The sequence below is a fragment of the Homo sapiens genome, chromosome 14, assembly GCF_000001405.40.
Source record: "Homo sapiens chromosome 14, GRCh38.p14 Primary Assembly".
NCBI lineage: Eukaryota > Metazoa > Chordata > Mammalia > Primates > Hominidae > Homo > Homo sapiens.
Genome location: NC_000014.9, coordinates 61,479,905 through 61,505,195, shown reverse-complemented (window position 1 = coordinate 61,505,195; position 25,291 = coordinate 61,479,905). Strand labels below are relative to the sequence as shown.

Below are 25,291 nucleotides of genomic sequence, written 5' to 3'. Positions count from 1 at the left end.
TCGATAGTGTTCTGTCATAGTAGTCCAATGGAGTAAGAAATACTTCAGACATTCAGCAATGAAAGAAGTGGGGAGAGAGGTATCTGTCTCTTCACTTCCTTCAGCTCTATGAAATAAAACCACAAATAAAAGCTCACTTATTTCCTTCCATGTAACTTTCACAATTGGTAATTACTTTTACTTGTTTGTGTGCTTACACTAGAATGCCTGCTTCCTGTGGGCAGGGAGCAGGCCTATTGTGGTCACTATTATATCTCCAGGCAAAAAATAGGTCTCAATTAACATTTGTTGAATGAGTAAATGAATGGATGGATGGATTAATAAATGAATACAAACCTATAAAGTTACAGACAAATTTATACCTCATGTAAATATATTAACATCTCATATAAAGGACATAAAACAAGAGGCGTAAGGGAAAGGCAATTTCCCCCAGTGTGTCTCTGAAACTAAGGTAGTGACTGATGTTAAAAAATAAATCTGTTCTTAATGCTTTAGTTACTAAATTTCCTATTTCTGAACGAGAGGAGAATACTCCATCAAAGGAAAATGCTGGAGAAATTCCCCTCCTACAGAGGGACCCCTCTCAATTTGTAAAAACACCCTTTTTTGTTTGGTTCTACCATCTTAAAGAAAAAAAAGTAGAAATGCAGACACCTCTTTGTATGATGACCATGCAGTGTACCGCCCAAAATGGGCCTCAGACGGCTGGGTGCGGTGGCTCATGCCTGTAATCCCAGCACTTTGGGAGGCCGAGGTGAGTAGATGACTTAAATTCAGGAGTTCAAGACCTGCCTGGCCAATATAGTGAGACCCCATCTCTACTAAAAATAACAAAAATTAGCCGGGGGTGGTGGTGAGCACCTGTAATCCCAGCTACTCAGGAGGCTGAAGCAGGAAAATGGCTTGAACCCAGGAGGTGGAGGTTGCAGTGAGCCGAGATCGCACCACTGCACTCCAGTCTGGGCAACAGAGCGAGACTCTCTCAAGAAAAAAAAACCCAATAAACAAAATGGGCCTCTGAGAGTAAAATGGGTCATGAAGGGGGATTATGGGAGCAAACTGGGACTTTTCTGGGCAAATGATGACATGGGGTCTGACCTACCTCTGCAACAGGTAAGTTAATCTAAGCTCATTCAAAGTTAAAACAATTTTTTAAATAATTCTTCCATTTAAAATGTGTTGTTAATTGAACCCTTCTTATCTTGAACTCTGATGAGTTTTTATCTTGAGAATTAATTCTTGCAAAGTAAAGTATCTTGAGCTTCTCTGGTAAGTTTTTGATTCTAGAGTTATATCTTAAAACACAAAGTATAACACAGGTCACTTTCCCTGGATGATATATCAAGTGAGATACTGTGAAAATACTCTGCATGGTAAGCCCTCGACTCTACCTCTTTCTTTTTATGAAAACAGAATACATGGCACAAAGCACAGCTGCCCCTGAGACATGCTTCAGAGGTAAAGCGCTTTGTAACAGATTCACTTCCTTTCCCAGTGCCACAGAACAAAGATTACACTCAGCCTTCCTGGACATAAAAACTTCAGTTTTTCCCATTCCTCCTGCCAAAGCTGAAATGCCGAGAAATGCTGGGAACCTGGCCTGTGATTATACACACTTCATATTTTACATTCTGAAACCCCAAGGAATAAGCTGTTGAGAACAGAGTCCTATTTCTTAAATGGCAGTTGAACAGATACAACGCTCAAGCTCTGTTGAGCGTGGCTTAGTATTTGCATAGGCAGAAACAGACAAAGACTGCACAGATTCTGCCAGTCTGTGGGCACCTTCCCGGCATATGTGGCAGACCTCAGTTAACTTTTCTCACTTATTTCTGTTTGGTTGTTTTTTAACCTTCTGAATTACTCAACCAGATTCTTACAGGAAAAAAAAAAAAAAAACCACTAACACACATACAAATCAGTCACAGGGAAACTCAGTTACGGCCTCTGACGGGTTTGAACCTGTCTATTTGCAAATGAGAAAACAAAATTTCAGTGTTCTTTAGGCCAAAATAGTATCTACCCTGCTCCTTGGTGCAGCAATAAAATGGACAGCCCCACAGTAATCAGATTTTGGGTTTGCTTTTGTCAAAATTTTCCTCCTCAGTTTTGTAAGTTGATTTCACCGCCACAGTATATTTTTCTCAATTCCACCTTCTGTGTAGGAGTCAAAAAAAAAAAAAAAAAAAAAGCCTGCTTCCCTTCCTCTCTTACATTCATTCCTTTCCTTCAAGAACCAACCCAAGAGCCACACATCCCCCAGGAAGGGCTCGAAAGGGTGAATTCCATGACTCAGTGTCACCTGCCTTCCTCTGCTGCTCGGCCCCATTTCTTTGTCAAAGGAGTGTTAAAATCCTCACTCGGTGAACTTGGGAAAGGCAAGCTTCTAGCTGCTTGGATTAAAGACTGAATACCCCCTCTTGCTTCATTTGCAAGATTTGGGGCTGCTCCCATCTGTTCTTAGAGGGCAGGAGCTCATTTTTAATTTTTTCTCTCTTGACATTATTTGGGACAGCGCCCATAGAGAAAGGTGTTTGAGAACTCCCTGGTGAATAAGCAGTCCACTCTGTACAACAGAAGGCACTCTATAACCACGGTAGAAGTATGTGCTGCTACTCTTTAATCCAGTTATAAATAATGACTGGTGCAACTGCTCTACCTGGAGCAGTAGTGCTGGAAAGAAATCTTTCTTTGTAGCTTGTAACTGCAATAAACGTTTATAAGCCTGTTGCCTGATCTGAAAAAACCAGCACTTTCTCCAACAAGAGATAGCAGAATTATTTCCAGGACTTGAACTGTCACCCATAGACCCTTCTGATAAAAGAAAAGATTGAATGGGCATGGTGGCTCATGTCTGTAATCCCAGCACTTTGGAAGGCTGGGGTGTGCGGATCACGAGGTCAGGAGTTTGCGACCAGCCTGGCCAACATAGTGACACCCGTCTCTACTAAAAATACAAAAATTAGCCGGGTGTGGTGGCATGTGCTATAGTCCCAGCTACTCAAGAGGCTGAGGTAGGAGAATCACTTGAACCTGGGAGGTGGAGGTTGCAGTGAGTGAAGACCATGCCATTGCACTCCTGCCTGAGTGAGAGTGAGACTCCATCTCGGAAAAAAAAAAAAAAAAAGAAAAGAAAAGAAAAGAAAAGAAAAGATTGCCTACCTACTACCTTTCTTTAAGGATTTAGATTTCATCTCTCTAAAGACTTAGGAAAAAATCTCTGTTCTTCAGGTAGATAATATACCACCATTTGTTTTTCAACAGGAGACATTCAAATGCAGAGCTTGCATATGCATAGACCATTTCTGGAAGGACATATAAGGACATGTCTTGAGGAAGAGGAATTGAGAGACTGGGGACAAGGGTATGAAGAGGATTTAGCATTCACTGTAATCATTTTAGAACAGCTAAAAGTGTCCTTTTTATGTATATGCATTAATTTACATTTTAAAATTAAATTAAAGTGACACTGCTCTTTAGTCAATAAATGATACTGTGTTTCCACCCATCTTCTCATCACTTACTCCCCACCATGAATTCCTGCAGACAAATGTTGGCTCAGTTGCTAGAAATAAAACAGAAATGAAGACAAGAAAAAAGAAATATTGCCATGCCCTGTGCCAGAAATTGAGGGATAACAAATGAAATGAACAAAAAAGAGCTCAAGATGCAAGCCCTTATGTAGCCATGACAAATGAGGAAACGTACGAGACTCTTGGTGTAGCTTTCGCTACTGCTTTTTTTTTTAATGGGATTAAAATGAGCACACATCTCTCTTTTTTTCATTTATTTGTCTATCAGGGACAAACCATCCAGGTCAATATATGTAGATCTAATGTATTCTTTCTTTTAATTGTTGCATAATATTCCACAGTACGGGTATAACCATAATTTATTCAACAATTTCCTTATGGAATCTGTCTTTCAAGTAAATTCATTGTTTAATTTCCTTCCCTGGATCACTTTTCTTCTTAACAACTGATAATGTATATGGAGGATTTGCTGATGTCAGACACTGGAATAAGCAAGCCACATGAATTAATTTTCACTGTAACTCCATGGAATGGATAGTACTGTTATCCTCATGTAGATTAAGAAACGGAGGCTTAGAGAATTAAAGAGTTGGTACAATATCACAGAATTACAGTACATTGTGGGGGTAAGTTTTAAATCTAAGTTTGACTTCAAAGCCTCGTTCTTAACTGTAAGCCAATACTGTCTCATTTTCATGCTGTTCCATGCAATCAACCTGAGTCTGTGGCCAGTCTTAAACATTATCCTGGTATTTCCAACTTTGAGATGGACCATTTGAAGGAGTTCCATAGGTACCTCTATTTTGACATACCCAAAGGTGATTTTCTTGTCTCCCCCATCCCACCCCCGTGCTCAGCCCATGTTTCATCTTTGGTAATTCACCCTTGAGCAAGTCACAGATTGATTTGAGAGGAAAATATCCACCTTTGCAGAGTGGGCTGTGCACAGAGATCCTCAGTTCTGGGATTTATGACTACCTTCTCTATTTTCATGTGCACATACAGGCTGAAGCTATACTCTCAAATGGATGCAGGAATTAAATTCCTGAGATCCTTACAACAGGAAAATTTAAATATCCTTTTTTGAGATCACCACACCAATTAACTTTCCACCGTGCTTGCTACTCTATAGTCAGCATCAACAATATCCAGTTAAAGACCAAGGATGGGCATGGTGGTTCAAGCTGTAATTCCAGCACTTTAGGAGGCCACAGTGGGAGGGTTGCTTGAGCCCAGGAGTTTGAGACCAGCCTGGGCAACATAGCGAGACCCCATCTCTAAAAATATTACAAAAATTAGCTGGGTGTGCTGGTACACACTTGTAGTCCCAGATACTTGGGAGGCTGAGGTGGGAGGATGGTTTGAGCCCAGGAGCTCTAGGCTGCAGTGAGCTGCACCGCTGCACTCCAGCCTGGGCAACAGAGGGAGACCGTGTCTCAAAAAAAAAGACCAAGTCTTACCCAAAAGAAGTAACATGAGCTATAATAACATAACTCAGTTCAGTTAGCCAACTGCTAGTTCAGATAGTTCTGATTTCGTAAGAGAAGAACGTGACAAGTCAACCGGATATTGATCCAAGTATCTAGAATGCCTAATAACATGGATGGTTTATGGATTACTGAGAAATCAGTAATCCTGAAGAAACAGCCAGAACGAGCGACTATCAGGCTAATAGTATTTCCTTTGTTAACAGGTAAACTAGATTGGGAGACCCAGACTGCCTTCACATATCTCCACAGCTTTCTTGTAAGAGAGCTGTATTTTTTTTTTTAAGTCTACCCCTTATAGGTGGTCCAGAACCAGTGAACTGAAGCTACTGGGAAACAATGTTTGAGTCAACAGAAAGGCGAAATTTCCAAAAGCCGTACATCCCTGAAAGTGGAGGAAGTATAAGTTCCTCTTTGCTTATAGGTGTTTAAGTACGGAAAAAAATGACTGCTCGGCAGATGTTGGATATTCATGCTTTGAAAGAAGAAGGGTATATAACTTTGAACTCCATTCCAGCTTTGAGATTCTAGAATTTTGTCAGCGGAACACAGTAAATTTTGACGCAAATGCCAAGAACAGGGTAGAGCAGCAATTCTGTACGTGAAAGCACAGGCTTACATGGCTACTCTGGAGGCCAGAGGAGCAGTGAAAAGGGAGGAGCAAGATGTGAGGGGCCAGGCAGTCAAAGCGCCACCTTCCCATTGCTGCACCAGCCACACACCTAGCAAACCAGACACCCCCAGGACACTGTTCTCCAGGGTGTGGGGTAGTTTGCCTGTTAGGTTTCACTAACTTCTCTTTGCAACTGAACTGAGAAATTCATCATGTGTGAGCATTTTCACCAAAAAGCAACAGAGCACTTGTACCACTTCACATTTCTACTTACAAAGTTTACAGAAAAGTACAATTTGACATTTGCAAGACAAAGGAAAAAATTCCCCTTTCAGGGACATGCTGCAAACTATTTATCAAAAGGTACACTCTAAAACCACAGTGTACTCAGCTTTTTTTCCTGCCAGGCTTAAGTACTGGGATCTAGGAGAAGGATTTGGTCTCAACACACCTCAAAATAGAGCTCCAAGCCTAACATGCATGGCTTAATGAGCCAAACGCATGACAACGCCTCGGTCTAATCCTTGGTTATTCTCTCGTGCCTGTCTACTGTGTGTTCCACTGTAGCAGGAGCTGTTTTCCTTAGGGCTGAAATCATTTCCGGGTAGATTTGGCACTATCAAACCAAGTAGCTGCAAAACATGTTGCTTAATGTAACTGAAAACCCCAAACACGTGTATGAATGAATGGCTGTAATGGACTGAATGTTTTGTGTCCTGCCAGAATTCATATATTGAAGCCCTAAGCTCTAATGTGATAGCATTTGGAGGTAGGGCCTTTGGGAGATAATTGGGGCTAGGTGAGGCCACAAAGGTGAGGTCTCATGATGGAATTTGTGACCTTATAACAAGAGACACCAGAAAGCCTGTGCTCTCTCCATCCCCTCACCGCATGAGAACACAGCAAGATGGCAGCCACCTTAAAGCCAGGAAGAGAGCCCTCATGAGGAACCAAATTGGCCAGCACCCAGATCTTGGAATTCCCAGTCTCCAGAGCTGTGAGAAATACATTTCTGTTCAAGGAATCCAGTCTGTGGTATTTATTATGGCAGCAGACTAAGCAGTACTGAGCAGACTAAGACAATGGCTTTGTGACTTCTGTAGAACTGGGTTTCACAGACAAGGAGTGGTCACGGCGTGAGGCTGGGGCTTGACAGAACTTAACTGATAAAACAGCAGGTTACCAATTTCTGACATCATGTTGAAAAACATAGTATCACATGAGATCACTTCTAAAATAGCATTTCTGCCCAGGTGCGGTGGCTCATGCCTGTAATCCCAGCACTTTGTGAAGCCCAGGTAGGGGATCACTTGAGGTCAGGAATTTGAGACTAGCCTGGCCAACATGGTGAAACCCCGTCTCTACTAAAAATACAAAAATTAGCCGAGTGTGGTGGCGCATGTCTGCAATCCCAGGCACTTGGGAGGCTGAGGCAGGAGAATCGCTTGAGCCCGGGAGGAGAGGCTGCAGTGAGCTGAGATCAAGCCACTGCACTCCAGCCTGGGTGACAGAGTGAGACTCCATCTCTAAATAAATAAATAAATAGGATGGCATTTTTTTAATGATAAAAAGACAACACTTGTTCAATACAGAACATTTGAAAACCATCAAAAAGAAAATAAAAATCACCTATATTACCTCAGACAACAACTGTTGATGTGCTGGTGTTTATCCTCCTGTAATTACTTTTCTCTACAGAGAGTAAAACTGACTGATGGGATGAAGTCTTTCTTTGGGTAGTCTCTTCTGATCATAACTGCCATTACACTCATGTAGTCAGTTTAAAGAGCCCATCCTCTTATACTGAAAAGGACACTCCTGAGAAGCAATTCTACTTTGAAGACACTCAATAGTTTCAATGTGGATATCCACAGCCTATAATATCAACACAGAATCACTGGGTGCCTATGGGGGTGTTTGGGGACTAACTGAAAGGGGCACTAAAAACTTTCTAGGATGACAGAAATGTTCCATATAGTATTTGGAGTATTGATTACACAATGTGTACATATGTCAAAATTTATCCAATTGTGCACTTAAGATCTATGAGGGGAACTAGAAAAATGGCACCAATACCCGTCACTGGAACATGTGTTTGATGCTTTTCCCAAAAGTGGTAGCAAACAGAATGTTTAAAAGTGAACATCACTGAGCATGTACTACATACCAGGCTCTGGGCTAAAGGCTTTACATGCACCTCCACATCACAAATTTAATTCTAACAACCACCCTCAGGTGAGTATTTCCAGGACTTCCATTTTATCATTGAAGAAACTGAGGCTTAGAGAGGTAAAGTAACCTGATCAAGATCCCACAACAGAGAAGTGGCAGAACCAAGACTGGAAACACCCAGGTCCATTCTACTCAGGAGCCCCAGCTCTTATCCACAATGCCAGCTCTAAAAGTCGTTAATTTGTGTGCCTTTCCAGGAATCTGTTCTAAGGAAAGAATCGAAGTCAGATCCAAATAAATATGTATGAGGATATAAATGCATCACTACTACAGATGTGCAAACATCCTTTTCGGTCAATCAGAGAAACTTTCCAGAAGGCTTTCATTTATTTAAAAAAGACTGCTTTGAGTTATGAGAAAATCATGGGTTTGGGCCAGAATAAGACAATCAATGGGCAGCTCTTCCCAAGCTGAGTGTCATATCATAGCGCTGTCATGAGGAGTAGGTGAGTTAATGCAGAGAGCTCAGAATAGAGCCTGGCTCGTAGTAGATGCTCAATAAATGGTAGCAATCATAATATATTCTCAGCCCTGACCTGTCATCTTAAAATAAAAAAAGCGTAGAATTTGAGGCCTTGGTCAATTCCATGAACACCTAAGAACACCTAACTCTCCTGTCATTGTCCTAGGGGCTGGGCTTGGACAGCCACAGTCCCTGCCTTCATGAACCCATATGCACAGGGGCACAGCCTATGGAAAGCACTAAGGGAAGGGTTTCACGGGATGCCATGGGAACAGAGGGGGCACCTAACCTAGATGGAATCTGGAGGGTAGGGGAGTCCAGGAAAGGCTTATCAGAGGAGGTGATGACTAAGATGAGACTGCAAGAATTGGTAGCTGGAAGCTTGGCAAAGAGATGGGGGAGCATTCTAAGCAGGGGGAAACGTGTGGAAAGGCCTGATGGGTGAGGGAACTCAGCACCTGCATGGATTCAAAAGGATATCATGGAGTGGAATTGTAGATTCCACCACATACTGTGTGACCTTGAACAAGTCCTTTCACTTCCCAGAGCCTCAAATATAGGATAATGTCACTGACCTTTGTCTGCAAAATAAGGATAATGCCACTTACCTTGTGCAACTGTCATACAGAAGATACAATTAAACAGAGGAGTTTATCCTTACAGGACAAATGCTCAACACATGTGGTTAGCATTCTGTATTGCAGAAAGAAAACAAAAAGGCTTGGGCCCTCGACGCCCATGACGCCCGAATTCATCTGCTCCAGCCCACTGGTCCCTCTGCTGCTCCTTGATCCCACTGCGCACTCTCCCTCCAAGGACTTGGCCTAGAACACTCTTCTCCCAGATATTCACATGGAGCTGCCTCCTCCCATCCTTAGGTCTTTGTTCATCTGCTCAAATGTCCCTTATCAGAGAAGCTTTTAAAAATCTCTGTGTCAAACAGTAAATCTTTGTTACTGAATTTTATATTGCTCCTACCAAGTTTTTTATCCATATACTGAATCACCCTAACATTCAATATATTTTTGTCTTTTGTCCTACTTTTGTGTTCTTTCTATATTTTGTCCTACTACTTGTGCTAGAAGTTAAGCTCCCTGAGAGGAGGGGGTTTTGTCTGTTTTATTTCCTGTATTTTTCCAGAGCTCACAGTAGCGTCTGGTACACAGTGAGTGCCCAACAACAAAAAAATTATTTGTTAACGGAAAGAACAAACACCCCAAGCTCGAGGGCAGGACCTGTCTTTATTCTTCTTTTACTCCCTAAGAGCCTGACAAAGGTTTGCATTGGGTAGACTTTTCATAAACATTTGTTGAACTGTACAATTCAATTACTTTTTACAAATGGTTGTGTTCATTTAATACATAAAGATTAAATGACTGTATTTTTCTTGTTCAGCAAATAAATCCAAGATTCTCTGTAATTATAATGAAGCAATTGGTTGCTTGGTCAATTTGGTGGGAAGAAGAGCAAAACTGGTGGCCTGGTTTCATTAGCTGGTGAAAGCCACTAACACATTTATCAATTAGTTCCAAATAGTCACAGCCTTCACTGATGAAAAGGCCAAACCCTGAGGAGGTATGCCAGGATCAGCATTCTGGTTTAATATATGAAGTACAGAAAAATGATCAAGGTGTCCCAGGACTTAAATGTCTATCTGTTATAAAGTTAGGTCCTTTGAGAAACTGCATTACTGGGATTACACCCTCAGGATGTTCACTCCACTAATGGTCTGAAAAGGTTCTTGAATCTCCTCTCAAATTAACCATCAAACATCTGCTTTAATACCAGAAGGCGTAAACTCAAAATGAGGTCAACTGCTTCCCCTAAACATTAGAAACTGTTGAAATTGAAGCAAAATGCCAGAGTATAGTCTTCAGGTTGTACAACCTGTCACATATGCCCTAGGACTTCCTAAGAAAATTATCTCAAGGGTTTATGGTAAGTTCATGGTAAGTATATCAATCACTTGCAATTCCAAAATATTGTGAAAATACAGAGAAAATGATTTGGTTTCAAAGAAAAGCATGACCAGAGTTTACTATAGAGACTGGTCTTCAGAAGGTTGATTTTTACAAGCTAAAACTCCAATTTCTATGAAGAATTACCTGTTATTCAGGCAGTGTCTTGAGAATAATTGCTGCCTATGCCTATGGATACCAAGAAAACCCAAATCAGGTGACAGCACATATGCAAAGATAACCTCTTATATTGACACGGCATGTTCCAAAAAGCATTCGCATTTCCACTTCCATCTGATTTGAGTTTTACAAGGACCCTGCTGGGAAGCTGTGTCAATGGCACCTCCACTGTACAGATGGGCCAAAGGGCTAGGGGCATTCAGCAACCTGCCCACATCCCCAGGACCAGGGCTGGGTCTAGCATGCAGGGCTTCTGAAAACCATGTCCAGCATTCTTTCAGTAGGAAGAATATATGTAGCGTCACACACATACTCTAAAGTAAGTGATCTTTTTCTATACTTTTATGGAATTATATTTTTAATACACTGGCACTTTGGGGATACTTACTCTAAATGATGAACATACCAATTGTTTCTATAACCCTGGAGCCAAATTTAGGCAGATTTCTAATGGAGTCTGGTTCCCCAGGGTTCTGTCCTTGACTCACACTGTTCCATTTAAGAGACTCCTATTGGGTGATCTCATTCAGTCTCGTGGTCTCAACTAATAGCTATGTCCTGATGACTTCCAAATATTTAATTCAGCCCATCCTCTTTACTGAGCTTCAGACTCCTATGCCCCTATCCATGGAGCATCTCCACTGGAGTATACCTCAGGCACCTGTCATACAACCTTTCTAAAACTTCTTCCTCTTTTGCCTAGACTTCTTCCTAGGCACATGATCTCTCCTAGCTAATGGCACTGCCATCCACTCAACCTTCTAGCTAAACACCTGGAAATGATTTCCGGTTTCTTTTTTACCCTGAATCCACCCAAATACTAAGTCCTATCAGCTTTACTTGCTATTATCTCTTATGCCTTTCTCATCAGCCCTACCATCACTGTCTTAGTTCAGGTCCTCATTATCTTGTTACTTGGAACTCTGCAACTGCCTCAAAATGAACCTCTCCCTTGCAACCTGGCTGCTGCTTACCATGGGTATGTCCACACATGCCATGCCCCCCACCCGCACGTAAAAGTAAAATATAAATCCACTCATGTCATAAGACCTGCTGAGAATTCTTCAAAGGTTACCTGCTCCATAAAGCCCAGACTCCCTGGCATGGAATTTGTGTCTGACACTGCAAGTTTTCTATCAAATAATGATTCTTTCCCTTCTTAATAATGGAATGCTGATTTTTAGCTGGAACATGGCCACTTGTAATACTGTATTTCTTGGCTTTCACTGGAGCTAGACTCAGCCATATGATCAAGTTCTGGCCAATTCCATGGTAAGTACTGTGTGGAATTCCAGGAGGCCCCTTAAAGGGAGCTGACTCAGTTTGGAGGAATGCCCTCTAGCCCTTCTTACTACATGGAATTGGAATAGAGAGATGATTCCTAGATCTTCAGCAACCATTTAGACAAGGACGTGACCCTGTCTACAGCAGAACAGAAAGCACAGAAATCTGGGTTGCAAATGACTCCACGGAGCTTCCATGGCGGGGCTGGACTACCTACCTCCAGGCTTTTCATGTGAGAGAGCACTATGTTTCCATCTGGCTTAAGCCACTGTCATTTTTATGTTTCCTGTGATAGGCAATGGAGCAAAGTCCTAAGTGACCCAGAATTCAAACATCTCAAGAACAGTAAGTGCTTAATACTTCATTTCTGCAGCCTCCTCTAGCCTTCCCTCTTCCCATGCCTCCAACTTCAGGCTCCAGTGCTACCAAAGTTCCTGTCATTTTCCACTTTAACTACACATTCACCACACTTCTCTGCTTTGCTCAAACTTGCTCCCCTACCTAAACACCCTCCTTATCTTTGTTCAGCTTTTAACTCTTCACACTCAGCTCAGGCATCACCTCCTCCAGGAAGTTTGCCTGAACATCCATCTTAGGGCAAGTGGCCATTCTGTCTGCTCCCAAGATACCCTGGGAAAACTCCAATTTTGGAACCCAGCTGCCATGACTTATTAATGGCTATCTCTCTCACCCCACAGAAAGCGCCTCAAAGGGCAGACATCTCATCTACTCATCTTGTATCTACACCTCCTAATGCAACATCCGGCACTAGGTGGCAGCTCAGGAAATATGTTCTGATCTCAACTGGATTTTTCTCACTGCAATGGAGTAAACAGGGTTGAATGCCTCAAAATGTCTTGGTTTGCTCTTCATGCCAGCTGTAAGTTGAAGACTGAAACAAAATTTTCTAGCCATATTTTTGTTTTCCTGGAGATGGAAAGCAAACAGCAGATGAGTCATCCGAAGAGAATATCCACTATGAGAAACAATTTTTGGACGTTTCACACCTGAAGTCCCTCATCTGTAAAAGATAACTTGGCCCTTAGCAACGTTTGAGGTCTCCTCTGGCTCTAATATTTTATAAACCCATTGTTGAGTATAAATGCACAGACCTGGACACAGAGAACTCACTGTGAATAGATGGCTCCTCCAGGGATTGGCAACATGACCGGCCTTACCTAACCTTCAAATAAATTATTTACAAGGAGTGTTTAATAAAATCTTGAAGTCATCAGCTGACTGAACACTGTAGGATAATAAAATGCCAAGTGAAGTAAGATACGCTTCCTAGACTCCAGCCAGGCTGGCCTGCTCTAAAAACCCCTGACCTTGCCACACTCCTTCCTGTTACTGGGCATCTATCTGCGTTTGCTGTTTCTTCTGTCTCAAATGTTCCTTCCTTCCCTCTTTACCGTGACCTCAGCCCAAGAGTCACTTCCTTATAAAAATCTTCCATCTTTCCCTAACTGGATAGAATCACCCTATTCTAGGTTCTCATTCACTGCATTGTATTTCTCCTCTTCATAGCACTAGTCATGGTTGCTACTTTTTATTGGTATAATCATTTGATTGACATCTTTCTCCCTCACTGGATCATACCCTCCACTGGCGAGTATTTTTGTTTTTGCTCATACCATTACATCCATATCCTTGGCAGAAGGGTGACGCTCAACAAATACTTGTTAAAAGATCTCCAGAGGCCATGCAAGGGTGCAGAACAGTGGCTGATGAGTTTCACTACGGGAAAAGGGAAGACCCCATTTGAGGGAAATGCTGAGCTACTCTAAGAAGCTGGAAAGCTCTGAGCTCTCCATCATATCCTTGAAGAAGGATCTTGGAAGTCAGGAATGGTGGTCACTTTCTGGTGAGAGTTGAAGAGCAGTCACTGAATGAGGCCACCATGGCACAGCAAGGCATGACAAGCTAAGTAAGAGAAGAGACAAGCACATGACTAAAAAGCTCAAAGAGCCAGTATCAGTCCCAGGTGAGGGCTCACAGCCAAAGTCTGATGTGAAAGTTACTAATATACTGAGCATTCCCATGGCTGGCATGTACTGAATAAACAAGGACTATACAAACAACAAATGACAATTTGTAGTAGTCTCTGCAGTACGCAAATCAAGAGAGAAGAGACCTACTTCTTGCAGCAGAAGGAATAATGCCAGCAGATGACAAAGGGAAAAGAGAGCTGTTAAATTTTACTTTCATCTTTATCTAAAAAGATTTTCCTCACTAGAATGAGTAGAATGAATATAAATACAGAACTGAATTCCAATAGAGGTGAGGTGACAGTAAGAGCCCAAAACTCCAGGCTCAAATGAAAGACATCTGGGGACTCAAAGTCTGCTGATAAGAAATACTGAGGAGTAAGAGAGGTCCTAGGAGGTGGGAATCAGAGAGAGATTGCCACAGTTTTCCAGAGGGGAAGAACTGCAGGGAGAGAGAGAGAGTGCACAGTAACTCAGGCATGTAAAATCCATCACTGGCCCAAGACACCATTTTTTTTTGTTTGTTTTTGTTTTTTTGAGACAGGGTCTCACTCTGTCACCCAGGTTGGAGTACAGTGGTGCAATTTTGGCTCACTGCAACCTACACCTCCCGTGCTCAAGTGATCCTCCCATCTCAGCCTCCCGAGTAGCTGGGACTACACAGGTGTGCACTACACCATGCCCACCTAATTTTTGTATTTTTTATAGAGACAGGGTCTCCTTATGTTGCCTACGCTGGTCTTGAACCCCTAGACTCAACAGATCTGCCCACCTTGGCCTCACAAAATGCTGGGATTACAGGCATAGGCCACTGTGCCTGGCCCCAACACACAAATTCATTTGGAAACGGATCACTTGTGAATTCTTAGACCAGGAAGTGGTGCTCACAGAGGAGACCACTTGCCAAGCAAGGCTATGCCCAGCTGAGTTATCTGGAGTCAGCGAGGCACCTGTGGACCCTCATGATTCTTGAGAAACAAGAGCTAGATGATGTTGGTGATCGGTATATTCACACAGATCCCCCAACTATGTTCAGAGACTAGCTTAACAGGGCTTAATCTTGCGAGTGAGATTGCTACTCTTCCCAAATTCTGAATTTTTAAAAGAGTCAAATTAAGTAGACATTTTTCTCTCAATCTGAGGAGAAATCAGCAGCTCAAAGTTGAAAAGTTCATGTGCCACGTAATCATGGGAGTAAAAGGCGGCATGTCAGAGTTGGCAGTGAGCCTCTGTGGGGCAAAAGCTTCCTCTGTGGGCCACATCTGCAAAATGGGATGGCGAAATACCACGGGAAGCATTTGGAGCTTTCAGGGTAAACACTAATTACCGTGCACCCAGCATGCCAACAGCTGCATAAGGCACAAAGCAGTCAGACTCATGAGTCGAAAAGCATGTGTTGGAAAGTGCTGTGTGCCCAGGGGTAACATGGTGAGGAGGAAGTGAAATTTAAACTGTGCCCTTCTATAAACTATTCCTCACCCAACATATTTCAGATACAGTATTCCACACTTTGTCAAAAACAGCCAATCAAATGTGTGCTGGCTGGCTTCAGGAGTTTGGGGTTGAAATGTCAATGACAGCTGAGTTTCCCTTTAATACAGTTGATGAAACATGCTGAAAGATGTCTGGTCAATGGGATGCATGCCCCTTTGTTTCCCTTACTTTTCTGTAGGGCTTGACTCCGGAAAAAAGTCAACACCATGAGTAAATTATTCATGAGCACTGTCTGGCCTTCCAATCGGCCAAGAAGCCCAGGACAAAAGAATGAATAGTCTTCTTTTTTTCCCCTTGGGAGAACTGACTTGATGACTGCCTCCTTCCCAGCCTACTCTTCTTGGTTTCTGGGCCATGGCAGGTTCCAGACCCTCCAACCAAAGGCAGAGAGGCAGGCCCTTCCCTTGCTGAGTCTCCTAGGAACTGGGCTTCTGTTCCTCCACAAAATACAAGTGAATACATCTGAGAATCAGGGTCAGAACACAAGACGGAATGCGTGCAAACGTAACTGGCCCATGTCCTCTTGCACAGGCACAGGCAGCTAAAGAAGAAATTTGTGTCAGAGGAGCCTAAGGTACTACCTTCTGAAGCTTTCTTTAACAGTGACTTGCATATGGTATCATCTTTGTAACCTGCTGGAAAATAAACACCTCTCTCCCTCCCCTCCCTCAAAGAATCCAAACAGACAAACAACAGCTCTGTTTGGATAGGTCAGAGGCATCTTCTGGGGGATTATTTTAGCTCTGATAAAGGGCGTTCTGGGACATGTATGATAAAAGAGGCTGCCTGATACTCCCAAGTTTCTCACTGGGCTCTTGTATCAAAACCACACCCTCTGTGACCCAAATGTGCCCTTTACTGTGTGTGAATTCCAAGGACTTGGCTTTCAAAGTCTTATCCTTAAGACTCTGTTCCCAGCCTGTATACTGAATGGAATTAAATTATCCTGTGAAATAAATCCAAGGGATAAAAATAGCATTTGAATCTATCCTAATTAACTGTGTTCCCTTCAAAGTCAACCATATCAGTTAGAGCCTGAACATGGGATTCAAGTCCAAGAGTAAATTAAAATCAATTCTCAGAACTGAACCACAGACACCATGAATTGAAATAAAATTTGTCAAGATGGGGGCTGGCACTGCTTCATCAGAAACCACATCAAGTTACAGTGTCTACCCACCATATTTTGAGACAAATGAGACAAGTAGACTGAGGGGCGGTAATATCCAATGAAGGAAAGGAAGCTTGCTGCTCGGCCCAACTCAAAGCCTCTGAGGATTCAAGAAAGCTTGAGATAAGACTGAATTGCTTTTGCCCACTCTACCTTATTTTCAGGAATTGAAGTGGTCCTATCACCAAAAAGGACTAAGAAGCTGACACTGTAATGGTACTCTAAATCCTCAAGTCTCTCCTGAGAAGACAGTGTAGCCCAGTGGTTAGAACCATGGTTTGAATTCTGACTTCACTACCAGTTAGCAGTCTGGTGATGAAGTCTTTGGAAGACCTAATTATTCATCGGAACAGTGTGGACACTATTATTGTTATACAATAATATTGTTAGAAGAATCAATAGACGAATGCAAGGGAAGTGCTGGTCCTGTAACAAGTGCTCGTTTTATTGATTTATTGATTGATTGACACTCAGGGTCTTGCTCTGTCACCCAGGCTGGAATACAGTGGCACAGTTACAGCTCACTGCAGCCTCAATCTCCTGGGCTCAAGCAATTCTCCCACCTCAGCCTCCCAAGTAGCTAGGACCACAGGTGCATGCCACCATGCCTGCCGAATTTTTTTCTTTTTTTTTTTTTTGAGACGGAGTCTCGCTGTCGCCCAGGCTGGAGTGCGGTGGCGCGATCTCGGCTCACTGCAGGCTCCGCCCCCTGCGGTTCACACTATTCTTCTGCCTCAGCCTCCCGAGTAGCTGGGACTACAGGCACCCGCCACCTTGCCCGGCTAATTTTTTGTATTTTTAGTAGAGACAGGGTTTCAGGGTGTTAGCCAGGATGGTCTCGATCTCCTGACCTCGTGATCCGCCCGCCTCGGCCTCCCAGAGTGCTGGGATTACAGGCGTGAGCCACCGCGCCCGGCTGGCTAATTTTTTAACATATATGTATATGTTTTTTTTTTTTTGTAGAGATAGGGGTCTCCTTATGTTGCCCCGGCTGGCCTCAAACTTCCAGGCTCAAGCGATCCTCCCCGCTCAGCCTTCCGAGGTGCTGGGATTAGAGGTGTGAGTCACCACACCCAGTCCAAGTGTTCAGTTAGGTCTTGTTGTTAATATTATTTTGATCTGCAGCAGAAGTCCCTGTCAAGTAGGGGAGTCATTACTTACATGTAGTTTTTAAAACTACATGTGGAAACGTCTCTCTTCGGGGCAAGCGGAGTGGAGATGGCTGGATTAGCCGCGGAGAGGAGAACAAAAATGGAATTTACTGCCTGGAGTCTGATAGCATGAGGACGACGCTTAACTCCCTTCACCATCAGAGATCATACCAGCAACCTCCACAAAGCATACACTGGAAAGAAAGTGGAGAGTGGGAAAAAAATGCTGTGATCTAATCCCCACAGCCTGGTCAAGAAAGCTCAAAACAAGCTGCCTAATCAACCTGCTGCAGCCCCGTGACCTAAGAACGAGCAGAGATCCTAGACTGCTTTCAAACAGGTGGCTCCCACTGTCCTTATCCAGGCTGGTTCCCAGTTCTGCACCCTCTTCCCTCCTGCACAGTGCCGTGAGGCTGTGATAAATGCACTGTATGGAGTTGAGGTCTAGGGGATCTGCACTGAGAATGAATTAGAGAAGTGTCTCTGTGGTACCTGCCACACCTGCTATGCAGTGCTTGCGTTCCCACTTATCTCCAGCACCACCCACCAGTCTTACTGCACTCTCTCTAAGAGAGTTACTACTTGTTCTCTTCCTATTTTGACTCCCACGGTATTTAAGAATATTCACTGTTTTTAAAGCTCTTATAATTTAATAATGATGTCAATACTGTCATGAGTTTATGATAGGAACTGCATTTAACAAGGTTAATAAATAGCAAATTTCAATCAGGAAATCCTTTACTTTGGCATTCATGCCCCTAATATACGAAAATTTTTCTCTAAGGAAAGCAACAATTGCATCTCAAGAGAAAAAGAGTTTATGTGAGCTGGGTGTGGTGACTCATGCCTGTAATCCTAGCACTTTAGGAGGCCAAGGTGGGAGGATTGCTTGAGGCCAGGAGTTCAAGACCGACCTAGCCAAAATAGCAAGACACTGTCTTAAAAAAAAAAAAAGAAAGAAAGAAAGAAAAGAAATAAAACAATAAAAAAGAAAAAAGAGCATATGTGCAATTAGGTGAGGACACTAACAGCAGAAAAAAAAACAGGAAAATGTGAGAATAAAAATTATCTAACATTCACTATTACACTTCTCACTGTCTCCAACCTTCTCTCTGACTAAAGTTACATTTGATATCTGTTGAATTCTGAGACTTAACAACATCAAGCAGATTCGGAGTCCATTCAAAGTATGGTATATTATGATCAAAAGATTGTGTGTCACAAAATGGAGAATCAAATATTTGGGAGGGGGCTACACACGGAAGATATTATCATGCAGGACACTGCTCACAAGTGGCTCACCTAGCTCCTGACTGGTGAGCCATGCTCCACATGACTGTAATTCTTGTAACTTAGAGCAGGTTAGCCACACCCTTTAGTTAAGGTGTAGATTCTTAAAATGGAATAGAATCATGGTTAAGGGATTCACTTCAAATGTTAAAATGAAAAAAAGAGAACAACAGTGTGTTTAGCACCCTGCAGGTCTTGGCTATGACAGGTCCTTAGCAAACTGGGGCTGAACCAATTCATGAATAAACAGTCTCTTCTGAGACTGTCGGGCCTATTTTATGAATACAAAGTGAGGCAAATTTTAGATTGCAGGCAGTGTTTATTACTGTTATTAATTTATCCTAATGGATCCTTGGAACCTTTGTGAAGCCTGGGCAACATTGCAAGACCCCTGTCTCTACAAAAAATAAAAAATAAAAATTAGCCATGTGTAGTGGTGCGTGCCTGTAGTCCCAGCTATCTACTTGGGAGGTCCAGATGGACCGGCTGCAGTGAGCCATGATTGCGCCACTGCACTCCAGCCCGGGCTATGGAGTGAGACCCTGTCTCAAAAACAAAAACCAAAACAAAACTTCTGTGAATTTAATTCCAAAAAAGGTTTCAACTGATTATCATGAGAAGTGGAAGGATGGATCATACCAGGAGAGGGAAGAGGCAGTGAATTAGAAGACAGGGCAGCAACCAAAACTCACCTATAGATGATTCCTTTATCATGGAGGAACATGAGAGCCGAAATGATTTCTGCAGCATAGAAGCGAGCTCGTGCTTCATCAAAACGACGAGACTTCTGAATGTGGAACATCAAGTCACCCCCATTCACAAACTCCATCACAAAAAACAGACGATCCTGGATACAAACACAAGAGAGGGCCCAATGTGGTGTAGCAATTAACCTAGAGCTCCATCAGCAGCATATTGCCTAAGGCTGTGGCATAGAGAGGACACTGTCAAGTGGATGTATTCCAGGAAACATCCTGACCATGGGTCAGGGTGCAGTGCAACCGGTCTGGTGGGATTAGATCCCCTGGGCAGAGCAGCACCTGGATCTCCTGTAGTTCATTTCACACAGCCTTGAATTGCTACATGAAATCAAAAGTACAGAAGGCATCAGAAACCTTTGACTCGAGTTCCAGCTCTGTACCTTAAAGGTCATGTACCTGGAGAGAGAATGTAAATCGAAAGGTAAATGCCTTTAATCTGGAACATGTGGGGTTAATTACCCAAAGTAAAGGACACCTAGCAGGTGCTCTAGTTCTCACAAATGGGCAGAGAACAATCACAGAAAAAGAACACCCCTTTAGACAAGTCAGCCAAACAGAAGTGGAGGCCGGGTGCAGTGGCTCATGCCTGTAATCCTACCAATTTGGGAGGCCTATGTGGGTGGATCCCTTGAGCCCAGGGGTTCAAGACCAGCCTGGGCAATATAGCAAGAGGTTGTCTATACAAAAAAATAAAAAAAAAATTAGGCAGGAGGATCACCTGAGCCCGGGAAGTAAAGGCTGCAATGAGCTGTGATTGTGCCACGGCACTCCCACCTGAGCGACAGGAGTAAGACTCCTTCTTCCAAAAAAAAAAAAAAAAAAAGGAAGCCAAATGACAGCCTCACAGTAGCATCCACATTGGAAATACCACTCAGTCCTTCAAAAGATTGAGTCAAGAGTCGGAATGTAGAAATGAGCGAGATGCCATCTCCCCCTTAAGTGACTCTCAACCTAGCAGGTAAAAGTGGACTCTTAAAAGTCACTATGCAGTGTACTAAATACTATGCAAGTAGTGTGAATAAAGTGCTATGGAAATCATGACTGCTTCATGAAAGAAACGTGTAGGTCTCATTTAAAAAGTGATCCAAGATTTATCTAAGTGTAAAACGTTTTGCTTCAAGCACCTCTAAGATAAATGGGTTTCCTCACTCCTTCCTGTGACATTTATGAAATTCCTGATTAGCTGGTGCTGAGTTCGGAGCCGGGATCCCATAGAGAGTAGAGCAGACACAGCCTCTCCCCATACAGAGTTTGGTGTGAGAAACACATTACTCAAAAAAAAAAAAAAAAAAAAAAGTGACACAAGCAGATTGACAAATTCTGGTAAATCCTGTGAAGGAAAAGCAGAGGAAGCGTGATATCTGGTCACCTGCCTGGGGGTCAGGCGACGTCTCTGAGCAAGGGAAACATGAGCTAAGGCCCACAGGATGAGTGCCATCGACTTGGGACCCCGTGATACCATTTTGTGGGATTGCAGATTATTTTGCGAGGAAAGTGGTATTTTACCAACGGATGCAGATACACAGAACCTATCATTATTTTTGGGTGAGACAGGGTCTCATTCTGTCACCCAAGCTGAAGTGCAGTGGCACGATCTTGGCTCACTGCAGCCTTGACCTCCAGGGCTCAAGCAATCCTCCTACCTCAGCCTCTGGAGTAGTTGGGACTACAGGCGTGCGCCACCACACCCGGCTTTGATTTTTAGTAGAGATGGGGTCTCATTATATTGCCCAGGCTGGTCTCGAGTCCTGAGCTCAAGCAATACTCCCACCTCAACCTCCCAAAGTGCTGGGATTACAGGCATGAGCTACCACACCCAGCCTTGAACCTATCTTTATTTGTGGTTGTAAGTGCCACCGGCTTTGCACAGGGTGTTTCCACACATTCACAGCTGAACAATGGGCAGAGCAGGGTGCGTGCTCCTGCTCAGCTCCCATTGCAAGCCTGGTGTAACCACGCAGACCCCTATCAGAAGGAAGCACGGCTTATGACCTCCTATGCCCTATTTTAACTAACGCCTTAATTAGAAGAAAAAAAAATCCCCTGAATTTATTAAACACTTCTTTCTGCTAAAAGCGAAGCAAGAATTTAATAGTGAAGAAGGAATGGCAAGATTCACAAAACAAAAACCACCACCACCAAAACAACTCTTCGGGTTGGCCAATGTAAGCCAACAGGCAAACTATGTAAATACAGCAAGCCATCTGCCTAAGCTCCTGGCCTTCATTTGAGGGTGACTGACAAGGGGAGAGGCAGAATTGGGTGGGACAAGCTTTGATGAGCAATGGCTGTCCTGTATTTTCTAAATGGGAAGGATTAAGGTAGAATTAGCAGGTTAGCAACAGGTTGGGCGGAGGATATACACACACCGGAAACATCCCAAAAAGCTGCATCTGCATAGTAAGGTTTTATGCCAATGCTGTATCTGTCCATTTGGAGGGATGGCCACTGATGGCCTGAGGAAGACTAAGACAAAAAGCCACCCTGAATCATCTCTGGGCAAGGAGGTCAGTCTTACATGTTTTCGTTAACCAGCCTGTTCATCTTCCTCGTGGATCTGACTGGCAGTCACATGAATTCCAATTGCTCTGAACACCTGGCTACTGGAACTGGGTCAGTGGGGAAGTGGCCATTCCTTAGGCTGCTATAAGTGGCGCACTTGGCAAGAGTTTTAAGGCAGTAGGCATCGAAAGCCTAAAATCTAAAAGCCAGACTGTGGGCTAAATTCCAGATCTGGGGGGAGAAAATCCTGCCCTCTAGTCTTGCTTTAGCCCAGCCCCATCTACAGCCCTGGAGGCAGATTCTCAGATAATGCCAGACTCTGGCAGATTCACCTCTGCTACACAGTGAGGGACCATAAGCTTTAGAATTCCAGAAAGATGGGTTCTGCTGTACCTGTTTCTTTTCATTCAGAGTCTCATTTCTAACCTCCTGTCTGGCACCACCTGGAACACAGAGTGTAATTCACAGCCCTCAGGTTATGAGCAACTCTTGAAGCAGGCAGGAGACACAGGCCAGCTGAGACACGACGACGACTTAATGCAGAGTACTGGTCCATCCTATCAAAGACCTCAAATAACGTCACCAGGTATAAAAAACAAAGACATGTTTATCAACAAGCAAAATGTTTTTGCTGTGAGGAAACCCTCTGTTGACCTGCACTTCTGTTCACCCCATTTTAAAATGTTTGCTGCAGAGAGGCAAAGATTTGGCAGCAATTTCTCCAAGATTACTTTTGAAGAGAAGGAGATAAACGACAAAAAATCTCTAGTGTTTAGAAAAGAAGATCCAGGCCAGGCGTGGTGGCTCATGCCTGTCATCCCAGCACTTTGGGAGGCTGAGGCGGGCAGATCACTCGAGGTCAGAAGTTCAAAACCAGCCTGGGCAACGTGGTGAAACCCCGTCTCTACTAAAAGTACAAGAAAATTAGCTGGGCATGGTGGCATGCACCTCTAATTCCAGCTACTTGGGAGGCTGAGGCAGGAGAATCACTTGAACCCGGGATGCAGAGGTTGCAGTGAGCCAAGATCGCGCCATGCACTCCAGCCTGGGAGACAGAGGGGGACTCTGTCTCAAAAAAAAAAAAAAAAAAAAAAAGGAAAAGGAAAGAAGACCCACACATCATCAGGTGGTGGGTGGTGGGGTGAGGAGTCATCATCAGAAGTAAAATTGTATTAAGTATGTCCTCAGGTCCCTTCGGGCAAGTGTGCAGTAAGTGATAGCTGCTGCTGAAGCTGCCAATGCTTGTGCTCTCATGTAGGTATTTTCAATTTAAAAAAAGATCACAAACGTGAATGTGCAGGATGATTTTAGTTATAGCCAAAAATGCAGACAGATGCATAGAAAGGATAAAAAAGATGGCTATAGAGTGACAGAAGTCAGTTTTTTGTTGTGGGATCGGGGTGACATTTCTTTTTTCTACCTTTCAGTATCTTTCAAAGTTTCTATGATGAGTGTGTATTACTCTTGCAATTAGAAGCAAACTAAAGTCACATGTGCTTCCTCCATGTTTTTCTTATTTTCATCTGAAAGATGGAAGATAAGACATGGGAAAGACACAGTTGTGAGGCTGTTTGAGAGAGCCCTTGTTTAGGCAATGGGAGTCAGAAAGCAGCTACAAAAAGAAATTGTTGCATCCTTGTTGCCCATTATTAAGGGACACGAGTAACCACCCATGTCCCATAATGGCCTTTCTGCTGCCTGAGGTAACCAGGCTTGTTGGAATGGCATCCACAGTGAAAATCGGCTGGCTCTGGTTCAGGTCCCAGCAGCTCCACTTGGAGCCTGGTGCGCAGGCTTTACGACATCTACTACAGCTTGCAGAGATCTTCTTGGTTCCTTTAAGGTTCTGAACAAAGACAAATGTTTACTAAACACACACGTGGTACGCCAGGGCCTGGGTAAGGACCCAGTCTCCTAAAACTAATATGACTCCACACTGCTCTCAGTAAGCTCATGGACATGCAGACACAGCACATCGCCACAGTGTGTTAAGTGCAGTGGAGAGGTACAGAAGGTGTTATGGGGACACCGAGCAGGGCATCTGAGCAGCCTGGAGGTGGAGGTGGAATTTGGCAGGTGGGGTTTGGGGGGAAGCTTCTGAGAGGAGTCAATTCCCCAGCCTAGAAGGATGAGGGTATGCAAGTCAGGCTGGAGTGGGGACTGAGGTGGGAGGTGTCAGGAAGACTGTGCAGTTGAAGTGTAAGATGTCAGGCAGACGGGAGGGACTGCGAAGGCAGGCAGGTTGTCAAGCGCTGGAGTGGGTGAGTGTGAGGCTTCGCTGTAACTGTACTGCTGTTTTCAAAATGAAATGCAGAAAAAGCAAAAAGCTACTTAGGGGTGCTTTCACAGGTCACCCACAAATGAGAAGTGCAGGGTCTCTGCTGCCATTAATAAACATGATCACTCACTACCAGTCTCTACTAGAATTATAAGCCCAGTGCCTGGGGTAAAACAGGTGCAGCTATGGTGCTTGGCTTGAAAAAGACTCCAGTAATGTTGGAACTTGCCACATAGAATAAAACAACATCAGCTACAAAAGCAAATCACTCCAGCAAAATTAATTCCAAAGGAGTAAAACTTCTCATATTTAGTGAATGCCCTTTACAAAGCAAAGACCTGTATTTGAAGCTCTAAAAGGAGGCAAAAGATAACCTCTCACCTACAGCTCTACTCTCAGTCTGTGCTATTTAAGAATTAGTATCACTGATGACTCAACAAACACCAAATCATGCTTCACAAATTCAATTGTGAAGCAACTAGGTGAAGCATTTTTTGGAAATCCTGCATTTAGGGAAGTACTGGAAGATGGATTATGGTTGTAGTGAGTCACTCCTATGGCAGAGAGGGGTTTCCCAAATCCCACTCTAGACAGAGATGGCAAAGATGACTGTTTCTGTATTTAAACCTGTGCATAGAACCATTTTGGTTTTTCTAAAGTCCATTTTCCTAGAAACTGAGCCTGCACATCTGTACAGCTTTACCTGAGGCTTTTGGCTTCTGTCAGGTGAAGTCTGCCCTGACCTGTGTGGTAGGAAATCTCAAGGCCAGGAGACCGGTTTAACATCACTTCTAAAGCCAAGTGGCTAAGCCCTTTGTCCCTGCTCCTCTCTTTTGTCCCTGATTCAGCCAACCACAAGTACAAGTCATTAACATGGGGTGATGAACACCGGTGGGAGTGAAA

The 25,291-nt window shown here is 43.4% G+C and overlaps 1 protein-coding gene across 8 annotated transcripts in view; it reads right to left on the bottom strand.

The window, feature by feature from the left end:
- The window catches only part of PRKCH (protein kinase C eta), a 363,509-nt gene that overhangs the window by 45,781 nt on the left and 292,437 nt on the right, over positions 1-25,291 (bottom strand). For all 8 annotated transcript variants that reach the window (XM_024449661.2, NM_006255.5, XM_011536957.2 and 5 more), the window contains exon 10: positions 19,540-19,694. In XM_024449661.2, coding sequence (XP_024305429.1) covers positions 19,540-19,694 — 155 coding nt within the window. The remainder of the gene's footprint in view (positions 1-19,539; positions 19,695-25,291) is intronic.